The sequence below is a fragment of the Homo sapiens genome, chromosome X (genome assembly GCF_000001405.40).
Source record: "Homo sapiens chromosome X, GRCh38.p14 Primary Assembly".
Lineage (NCBI taxonomy): Eukaryota > Metazoa > Chordata > Mammalia > Primates > Hominidae > Homo > Homo sapiens.
In genome coordinates, this window is record NC_000023.11 from 151981700 (window position 1) to 151993403 (window position 11704).

General features: G+C 41.5%; 1 annotated feature.

The window, feature by feature from the left end:
* Positions 4350-4569: a silencer, noted in NCBI's record as "fragment chrX:151154521-151154740 (GRCh37/hg19 assembly coordinates)". NCBI's record gives its function as "represses an EF-1alpha promoter that drives an FKBP-Casp9 reporter gene in an ReSE screen in K562 erythroleukemia cells {active_cell/tissue: K562}" and the evidence as "EXISTENCE:reporter gene assay evidence [ECO:0000049][PMID:32094911]".

Genomic DNA, 11704 nt, shown 5'->3' on the forward strand with positions numbered 1-11704 from the left:
AGGTTCCGTGGAAGTTGAAGAAATGCAGAGTAGTACCACAGAGCACAGTGGAGGGCTGAGGTGGGTCTTGCTGAGGTTTGAGGGAGATGATTAACTGCACCCTCTCCCTTCTCTTGGAAATTCAGAGTAATTAACACAAAAGACATTGGAGTCAGAGAGATATAGAAATGTGGTTACTTCACCCACATCCCCTATAGTTCTCACCTTCGTAAAGCCCTTCCCCCAATGTACAACCCTGCCTCCTTTGTGTATTCTCATTCTTTGTAGGAGGGTAACACTTCCAGCTCCTCCCTCCTCTCTCACAGGCGCTGTTCTGGGTGTTGAGGATGCAGTGACAGGGCAGATTAAGTCTTTGCCTTCATGAAGTTTACATGTTTATGCAGGGAAACGGGCAATCAGCAGACAAGGAAATAAATCTGATAATTTCCAGTATGAAATGCCATGAAGAATGACTACAGGATAATGACTGGGGGGGACTCTCAGTCTGCCCAGGGTGCAGGGAACATCTTGGTCTCCTCTTGGGCTCTCTGGGAAGCTTGGAACCACAGGGTAATCAGCTCTGAAGGCCCTTTTGCCATTTCTAATTCCAATGTGGAATAAAGGGAGCGGGAGGAAGGCAAAATGACAAGGCTATTAATATACGAAAGGCTGCCAAGCCATTATCGTTTATTTCAAGTGGTGGTAAAAGCAGATGACTCATCCTTCAGAGCTGCAGGACTTTGCACCAAACAGTCTGGATAGTTTATTGGCTTGCCTGTTTTTCTGAGCTTGAAGTCAGGGTGACAGGGCTTCTGAGCTTGAATAATCCTGAGAAGCCATATTTCCTTACCCCAACCCTAAGAAAGACTTTCCCAGAAGGTCTCAAGGGAACAAATAGATGTTTCAGCAATGGTTTGGAGCCAGGAAGCTTCCTGGTGAAGATGAAGCCAAGCAGCTACACTGAAGAGTCTTTTTTTTTTTTTTTTTTTTTTTTTTTTGAGACAGAGTCTTGCTCTGTCGCCCAGGCTGGAGTGCAGTGGCATGATCTTGGCTCACTGCAACCTCCACCTCCCAGGTTCAAGCAATTCTCCTGCCTCAGCCTCTCAAGTAGCTGGGACTACAGGCACGTGCCACCACGCCTGGCTATTTTTTTGTATTTTTAGTAGAGACGGGGTTTCACTGTGTAGCCAGGATGGTCTCGATCTCCTGACCTCATGGTCTGCCAGCCTCGGCCCCCAAAGTGCTGGGATTACAGGCGTGAGCCAACGCGCCTGGCCAAGAGTCTTTGTGTTTTTCTTACCCTCCCTTACCAGCCATGCTTGCTTGCCCTGCTGTAGGTTAGGGAGGAAAAGAGGGAATCTCTTTCTGACATTTCCAGTAGTATCACCTTTTCCCTGGCAATCTGGTGAAATGTAGCCTATTAATGAAAGACATTTCTCCTCCCAAAGCTGTGGAAAACCAATTGTTGAGTTCATAATGCTTGCCAATCAGTTAGAACAATTGGGAATGTTGAGATTGGTCAAGTGCCCCAAGAGGCTCCTTGGATGGAAGAGCTGCCATCAAATTTATGGTGTGTAGCAGCCTGTCTTACAAAAGGGATTTGCTCCAACAGATTGGGAAGTGAACTCATCAGGGAAGTAAGTGTAAAAAGGTCTTTGTAAAGAGCAGGTGTTCTGTCTTTCCTGATGCATCATCAGTGATATCACTGGTTGGGCCTCAGTTCCAGCATTTTTATTGCTGGTGCTCTTGTATGACATAGAAAGGGCTCAGTGGTGAGCTAGATCACTTTGATACTGCCTGTTTCTATGGGCAACTTTGACAGGAACAACAACAGAGAATATTTTTCTCCCTCTAAAAGGGCTGTAAGAGAAATCAGGATTGGAAAGAGACTATAAAAGACTTGATGACATCAGCCTTAACTTTTTCCTGGAATAGAAGTCTTCCTCACAAGTAGGGCATTCAAACTCAGTTTGAGCCAGAGATGAGGAGCTCACTACCTCCACAGGGCAGCATGTGTCACTTTTCAATAAGCTCCACAGCAAAATAGTCGTTTGACATGGTAAGTGAAGAATTTTCTGAGAGAAGGTAGAGGAGTCAATCAGATCATCCCTTACTTTTCAAGTCCAAGTTGGCCAGGACAAAACAGTTAAACTTGAGATTAGAGAGCCTGTCCCTACTACTCTTGTGCTATGTGCACTCAGGCAGGCATAGTTTGAGCCCCCCCACACACACATAGAGGCATCCACTCTGTGACATTCATTATTTATTTTCACAAGAAAAATAACTAATTGACACATTGTCCTAATAGTTCTGATGTGATATAGACCAAAGATTAGCCAAGTATATAGAGACATCATACTTATCTCAATGTCCCAAAATCAATGCTAAAGCTCCTGCCATTTCTTCATAGACAAGCTTTTGGAACTTCACTCAGAGTCTGTTTACACTTAGTTTACAAACAGATCTACCTGTCTTGCAGAAACCTGGTTTTCCAGTCCACAGCAGCTTAACAGCAAAACTAGAAGAGAACAGGGCTTATTCACCTGATAATCCAGACTAGAAATAGTTATTAGTATTGTTATATTTTATGCAATTAACCATCGAATTTTCAGTATGTTCTTGGCAAAATCATTTTTCTTTTTCTGAACCTCAGTTTCTGTTTTTGTTTGTTTGGTGTGAGAAACTCCCTTGCATACTTAGGCTGTGTTATTGCTTAAGTCACCTATTGTGTTAGATAATTTACAGTACTTTTAGCTGCAAATAATGGAAACCCTTACTCAGACTGACTCAGACAACAAAAACATTTGTAACAGGAAGTCCATTCGTGTGTGGGCTGCTGGGTTGCTTAATTCAGCAGCTTGACATGTTATCGAAGACCATCTCACAGACATCACAATGGAGTTGGCTCTTTTCTTTAGTGGCAGAACTTGAACTAGAACAAGAACTAAATCTAACATCATATGACAGCTAACACGGTTCTGTTAGCTGCCTGTGCTGCCTTAGAACTGTGGGTATTCCCAAGTCAGCAGTTGCTTTCTGTATGAGGCTGTGTTTGGGGAAAAAAAAAAAAATCACTGGAAGCAGAAGAAAGCTGTCTCAGGGCACTCTTGATGTCAAATAGGCTTCCCTAACTCTAGGAAGAATCCGATTCCATGATATGGCTCCTTGTATATCAGAATGGAAAAAAGCCAAAGACGTTGGCCAGGACTTGGTCTGTTCAGGATGTTTCTCATCGGGAGAGGTGAGAACAGTGGATACTTTAAGGGATAGAGTGAGAAGTGAAACTGGCATACGTTTTCTCCTTTAGGTGTACAAGGGGGCTTTCAAGGATTTAAGGAAAGCAGTTTAGTCAGATTTGTGTTTTGTAAGGTTAACCTGGCTGTGATGGCAAGTCTGGATTTGAGGAAATGGGTGTGTGACCAGAAGTAGCTAGGTCTCTTAAGACTGTGTTGCAACATTCTGGGACAGAAATATTGAGAATTTGACTGAGGTCAGGGCAGAGGGGAAGGAGAAAAAGGGCCGAAAGTCTGTCAGATATTCATTCCAACCTGGTAGTTGTTGGCAGATTGTATGTAAGCTGGGAAAGGAAGGTTCCACTGACGGAGTCCATTAGGTTTCAGGTTCCATACCCCGACACTCTGATTGTCTCTGATGCCCTTCGCTGAAATGGGCTGCACAGAGAAGACAGGAAGCCATGTACTAGAAGATGGGGGTTTTGAAAATTTGGGATATGTTGACTCTGAGTCCAAGTGGAAGTTTCCAGGAGGCGGTTGAATATATCAGGCTGGAGCGTAGGACAGATATTTAGGTTATAGATTGACTTGTTAATATTAGGAATAGTATTGTACAGAACTATGTGATTTACAGAGCAGCTCTATCTTCATGATTTTATTTAGCTCTCACCCAAACTCTGTGAGGTAGACATTATCTTTCCCGCTTCCCAGCTGAAATAACTGTGTCTCAGAGAAAGTAGATGACTTGCCTAAGATTACACAGTCAGAAAGGAACAGAGCTGGGGCTAGAATGCAGGTCCCTCAATGCTGAGTGCCACATGCTTCCCCTTGTTCTTCAGATAGCAATGTCAGCCGCAGCAAGATCATGATAGAAGCTGTGGCAATTGCTGAGGTCCCTGGGAAAGCTTATGAAGAGCCAGAAGAGAGCTGGGCAGAGGATGGAGTCCTAGAGCTTTCGTGAAAGTAGACGTAAGCTGCCTGCAGCTGGGCCTGCAGAATTCTGATTGATGGGACAAAGTTATTATTCCACTTGCCTTTGGACCTTGCCTAGTCTCTTGACCCTGGGGATGCTGCAACTTTGCCTTTCCCAGCTCTCCTCCCACACCTACCCCAGCCTTCTCCTCCCTTTGCTCCTGCTGGAGTCACTGGGTTCTGGCTTGCAGTTTGGATCACGGTTCTGTACATTGTGCCTTGTAGTTCTGAACCTTGGCCATGTCCCTAGATTGTTGACTCACTGGATCCACCCTGGGCCTCCCTGGTTTGGTTTTGGACTCTGTCCAGGGTCTAGGCTGCCTGCTGTGTCACAGGGATTCAGCCACGTTTCCTCATCCCCTCTCAGGCCTGTTTTCTTAACAGTAGGTCACTGAAGAATGGCTGCGATTTGCCTGATTGGCAAACAAGACCCAGTGAAAGTTCACAGGGCATCTTCAACAGAAATGAGGGCTTTGCAGACTGGAGAGCTGTTCTCTAGGTGGCCCTTGTGGAGAGGCAGTACAAAAAAGTCTATAAGGCAAACATCAGCCAAATCGGGGTGAGTTGGAGGAAAGAGGGTACCAAGGAAGACAATGCAAGCTCTGGTTTCTGCCTTCAGGGAAACGAGATGCCATTTCTTTGAGTCCTCAGCAGGAAGCAGTGAGCAGGAGAACTGCACTGAGGACAACCATACTTCTTGTATCACATTTTCCAGCCTGGGGAGTGAGGGATCTACACAAGAGTACTGAAAGGAAGTTCACCACTTTTAGCATCAATGCTCTTGAAAAGTATTATTTAAACCATATTATGAGGGAAACTCATCTCCCAGATAAGGCTTATTTTTCTACCCTAGGGAAAGGAAGCACACCAGACATATGTAACCTGTTCCTAATGACTCCTGGTTCTTATTGTAAACTTCGCTTCCTGTCCTTGGCCATGACAGCAGTTGTCTTGGTTGCCACTTAGACAAAGTCACTTTATTCCTATGGAAAATGGCCTAGATGGATGTGCTTTTTGGCGTGTCTCTCTTTTTACAGGATTTTTTTTCTCTTTCTTTGCTGTCAATCTGTCAACTGCCACTTCTTATGATCATCACTGAGCTTGCTGCTTGCATGAATCCACTTTTTCTCGCTACTTCTTATTTACTTTGAGATTGGAATTTAAATACCTACGTTTCATAGAATTTTATGTAAACTAAAGTTTGTGGGCTCTGAGTGAAATCCTGAGGGGGCCCTCTCTGAAGAAAGTGCATGTGATATGGAGCTTGGGATTCGTGGTCACGATTTCAATTGCTCTGGAGGCTTTCCCTTTTTTTCTTCCTCTCTCTCTCTCAGTTGTGTTCTCAATAAGTGTGCCTTATTCATTCTTTCAGCAAATATTTTCTGAGCACTTCCGGTATGTCAGGGATTCTTTTGAAGCTTGGGGATACAGAAGCAAGCAAAGCAGGAAGGATCCTTGACCTCCTGAGGCTTTCATTTTGTGGGAGGAAATGCTTTGAAAATAAGTCCATGACACTATATATTTGAAGGTGGAAAACGCTAGGAAGATAGATGAAGTAGAGGAGGGGGTGGTATAGTGCTGAGGGTTCAGGTCATTATTTGTATTAGGATGCCATGATTGATAAGGGAATTGGATGGAGAGAATGAGCCATGTGGATATCTGAGGGGAAAAATTCCAGAGAGAGGGAGGAGAAAGACAAGGGCCCCGAGGTGGGTGAGCGCATGCCCACTGTGTCAAAGAAATAGCAATGGGGCAAGTGTGACTAAGCAGAGTGGGCAAAGAGGAGAGTGGTAGGACATAAGGTCAGATAGGTGGCAGGAGCCGGATCCTGAAATGTCTTCAGAGCTGTTGGAAGGACACTAGTTTTCACTCTGAATGAGATGGGAGGACCATTAAAGTGCTTTTCAGAAGAGGAGTAGATTTTTGGGCTGAATTGTGGACCCTCTACAAATTCTTAAGTTGAAGTCCTCACCCCCACTACCTCTGAGTGTGACTGCATTTGGAGATAGGGTGTTTAAAGTGGTAATTAAGGTAAAATGAGGTCATTAGAGTGTGCCCTTATACAATGTGACTGGTGTCCTCATAAAGAAAAAGTGATTAGGACACAGACGCACCCAGAAGGAAGACCATGTGAAGACACAGGGAGAAGACACCATCTACAAGCCAAGGAGAGAGGCCTCAGGAGCAGTTAACCCTACCTACACCTTTGTCTGTGATGTCCAGCCTCCAGAACTATGAGACAATGTATTTCTGTTGTTTAAGCCACCCAGTCTGAGGTATTTTGTTATGGCAGCCCTAGCAGACTAATACAAGTGGCATGATCAGACTTAACTTTAAAACAGCATTCTGGCTCCAGTGTAAAGAAAGAACTATTGAGACACAAGGGCAGCCACATAAATTATCTGTGGATATGAATATTGAGGGAGCATAGTGAAAGTTGTTCAAAAGTGTGTGTTGGACTCAGAGTTGAAGGAGCTGATGAACATAGGCTGGAAGAGAACGAAAGGGAGGGTATGCCAGGGAGTGAGTGACGTACAATGGGATTGAGAACCTGTTTAAAGAAATGATGCAAAGGACAGAAAACACCTTGGTCTGACAAGGCCTAGGAATCCTCATTGGGAACACATACCATCAAACTGGCAAGATAAAGAGAGTCTTGTTCATGTGAGGCTGTGTTATGTCCTGGTAAGTGTGAAAGCAGTACGCAGGGCAACAATGGAGGTGAACTGAACTAAGAACTATATGCAGATGACTCTTAGAAAGCAGGAAAGATGGAACATAGGATAGTAAAAGAAAATGCACGTGCTTGGAGTTAGGTGACTGGAGTACTAACCTCAGGCTTGCCACTCGTGTGGGAGATAATTTGAGCCTTGATATATTTCTTTTTCCATTAGAGCCAAAAATTTACACCTTGCCTGCCTCACAGTACTGTTGGGAAGGCCAAGTATGATAAAGGCTAAATAAATTTTTTTCTAAGTTATATAAAGACCTTTAGGTATAAATGCAAGTGAAAGGTTAAGCCTAGCTTGTAGGTGTGAAGGAAGCAAGAGGAAATTGGTGTGGCCAAAGCTGCTAGCTGTGTAGCTGAATCTAGTTTCATTTTCTTCCATAAAATAAAATTGTAGCTGGGCATATAGCTATCCAGCAAGACCACATTTCCAAGAATCTCCTGCAGTTACGTACTGTCATACGACTATCTTATCAGTAATGGAATGTAAGCAGAAGTAATTATATGTCACTTTCTGGCCTGAATCTTAAGAGCACAGTATGTCTCCTCCTTGTGCTCTTCTCCCTTCCTACCAGCTGGAATCCTTTTATGGTGACCACCCATACTTAACTATGTAGATGATGCTAATGTTGTAATGGATAGCCAAGCAACAACTTGGAAGGAACATGGTTCCTAAATGACTTCAAAGGGGCTGAGCCACTTGCCAATCAGATTCCTTCACATCAGAACTCTTAAGTGAGAGATAAATATCTGCTTTGTTATCTCAGTCATCCCTTTGGTGAGTTTCTGTTACAACAGTTTGCCTTTACCCTAACTAAAATGGAAATGTATCTTCAAGTAGGGTACTATTGCAACAACATCTCAGCAGGTAGGTTGCAGGGACAACAATATTAATATTATAGGCTTGAAAGCTGGTAACTTTTCATGTCATGGCAAAGCATGAAAAGCATGATAGCATGGCAAAACTGTCAACTAAAATAACTTTGAATGCAGTATGATGCCTACTGAGACTATAACTCTAGAGAAAGTGATTGGAGTCAGTGTCTGTGTTGGCTGTTCCTTGATGCTTTTAGAAAAGCATTAAAAAGAAGTGATCTCAGACAAGAATTTCCCTGACCTGCAGTCTGAGATGGAAGGAAATAGACGCAGTCAAAAGGTGTGGGATCCTTGGGTTTGGGAAAGGCAACTACTTAAGTAATTTTAAGTGGCTACAAAGAAGACCAGCATTGTCAAAGTTACAATAGAACTTTTCAGCCAATCAAAAAAAGACGAGAGAGAGAGAGAGGAGAGAGAGGAGAGAGAGAGAGACAGAGAGAGAGAGAGACTGTTGAAAAAGATTAGACTAAGGGATTGCCTTAATGCCTAAACCCATTGTTTTCAGCTTATTTCAGGGAGCGACTCCTAAAATGGTGCAGAGCATTATGAACCAAAGAAGTAAAGAAATAAAGCAAGTTTAAGAGCTGTGTCTACAGACTAAGATATAAAACTGACTGGAAGCAAATGTACCAGAAGTCTACCAAATTTCGTGTTAAAAATCGTTACAGAAATTTTCACTTGGGTAAACTGTAGAGAGAATAGCACGGCGAACTCCCAAGTACCCATTTTTTAGCCCTGCTTCAACAATCATCACCTCATGGTAAATTTAAATTCATCCATACCTCCACTTATCCCCTGACCTCTTGCTTCCCTGGGGATACTAACACGTGTTGTTTTTTAAATTAACTTTTTATTGAAGACACGCACACACACAGAGAGGGAGATAAAGAAAGGGGGGGCGGAGAGAAATGAACATAATCCCTAGAGGTACAGCTTAATAAACATATTCTTGTAATCAGTACTCATCTCAAAAAACTGAACATGATCAGCTCCTCAGAACACCTCTTGGGCTTCCTTCCAGTAATTACACACCCCAAGCAAATAACCGCATTATATTGATTTCTGTCACCATTGAATACTTGTGTTTGTTTTGACTTTTATATAAATGGAATATATAGTTTGTATTCTTTTGCATCCAGCTGTTACTGCTAACCAGAATGTCCATTGAGGTTCTTCCATGTTGCAGTGTGTATCAATAGTTACTTCTTTTTATTGTTATGTAATATTCCATCATATACTATATTTTAAAAGATCCATTCTACTTTTATTAGGCATTTAGAATGTTTCAAATTTTGGGGGTTATTATGAATAAGCTTGCTCTTAAAATTTTTACATATTGGTAAATGAATGTATTTCTTTTAGTTATATTCCAAGAACTAGAATTGCTGGGTCAAAGGGCATGCATATTTTCAGCTTTAATAAGTGTGGCTAAACACTTTTCTGAAATGGATGCACCAATTTACATTCCTGCCAGCAGTATATGAGAGTTTCTTTTGCTCTACATCCTCATGAACACATAGTATAGTGAGGCTTTTTCATTTTAGCCACACTGTTGGGGGTGCAGCAGTATGTAATTGTGGTTATAATTTGCATTTCCCTGATGTTGTTGGGCATCTTTTCTTTTGAACATTTGAATATTTTTGTTTTGTTTGTTAAGTTCCTTTTGTCCACATTTCCCCTGGGATTTCTACATTTTTGTTATCGATTTTTAAAAGTTCTTTATATATTCTGTATATGAGACTTTGTTGATGATATTTTAAATATCTTCTCCCATTATATGAGATTTTTATAGCCTTTTAAATATGTTTTTCCTGTCCCAATGCTATGAAGATGAGCTCCTGTATCGTTTTCTGGGAGCTTTAGCATTTTATCCGTCACACTTAGATGTGTAATCTTATGGAATTTATTTATGTCTCTAGTGTGATATGGGGGTCAATTCATTTTTTCCCAAATAGATATTGAATTAATCCACCATTGCTGTGGCATTTTTTGTTATAAACCAAATGACAATGTTTATATGCATTTTCCTGGTCTATGTTATTACGTTGGTCTTAATTATTATAGCTTTGTAATAGGTCTGATGTCTGGTAGTGTTATCCCTCTGACTTCATTCTTCCAGATTGCCTTGGCTATTCTTGGACCTCCGCATTTTCATATAAACATTAGAATCATTTTGTTAATTTATATATACACATATACACACACAAACATACTCAAGCCTGCTGGAAGTTTGAGAATTGTGTTGAATCTATAAATCAATTTTGGGAGAGTTGGCTTCATTAGAATATTGAGTTTTCCAATCCATGAACATATTTACACAATTTCAGAGAAACTTATGGCTAAAGAAATCAAAACTACCCAGTTTCCATCAACTGACAAATGCACAAACTGTGACATATCTATGCAGTGGAATATTACTCAACGATAAAGAGCATTGAAGTACTGATTCCTGCCGCAACATGTATGAACCTTGAAAATAATATGTTAAGTGAAAGAAGACAGTCACAAAAGGTCACGTATTATATGATTTCATTTACATGAAGTGTCCAGAATAGGCCAAATTGTAGAGATGGAAAGCAGATAGTGGTTGCCTAGGACTGAAGGAGATAAAGGGAATGGTGGTAAGTGATAGCTAAAGGGTATGGAGTATTTTGGGGGGTAATAAAATGTTATAAAATGGACTCATTTTATAACACAATTCCATGAATACATTAAAGAATATTATAAACTTTAAGTGGTGAATGTGTGGTATATAAATTATATCTCACTAGAACTGTTTTACACACACACACACACACACACACACACACACACACACACCTGGTCTGCCAAATTTCTTGATTGTTTAAGCCCTAAATCAGCCCCTATAAAAAATATATATTCTCCAATATTGTGTCACTTGGAGATTTTGGAGAATGGGTGTCTGCAGTAATTGGATGAGGCTGTGGGTTGTTTCCCTTGTGAACACTGTTTGTGTGTGTGTGTGTGTGCAAATAAGGTTGCACACAAATATTGAGGTGGACAGGTAGGTGGATTGTAACGAATATTGTTAATTGCCCACCAAAACCCACTTGGCATTTATTGCAATATAATATAATTGTTAGAGATCACATGGCTGCTCATGGTGACTACATTTTCCAACACTCTGCAGTTAGGTATGAATGTATGACTAGATTCTTGCCAGTAAATTAGAAGTAGAAGTGATGTGGGCTCATTCTAAGCCAGGGCCCTAAAAGAGTGGATGTTCTCTTCTCCATTCTTGCTGGCTGAAACCCTTTTGTGGTAGCCACTGGGTTTGAAATATGTAAAAGATGACATGTCTTAAGGGATAGAAGGAATGGGAGAGCAATGACTTGGAAGGGAAGAAACTGAGTCCCAGAATGACCTTGTTATGCAGCATTGGATCATTCACAGGGAGAATGTTACATGAAAGAGAGATACAAATATCTATTCTTCATATGTAAACATATGTGTATATTCACACCTTAATCTGCTCTATTACTGGTTATGTTTTTAGTAGCTTATGTTTACCATAACTAATACAATAAAAAGGACTTCATTTTTGTGCTCCCTCTTCAACTGAAAATCTGGAATTTGGAAGCTGACAGTTAACCAAGCCCAAAGAAGAATCCACCAATCATATCAGGATTTATGATCATCACCTTGTTACCTGGCCTCACTCAGAAGAAAGTGCCTACATGTGGCACTTCCTGTCATGTCAATAATTAGCAGTTGGCCTTCAGGAGAAATCACTCATATAGGAGGGCCCCAGGGATGGAGAACAATACCAGGCAGAAAGGACTGAGGTCTGGCTCTGAGATTATGGCACAAGCTGAAAACCTCAAAAGTGTTTTCTAGACTTCTGGCTCTCTAGAGTCCCACTAGGTTGCTAAAAACTTTGTATCCTCTGCAACAG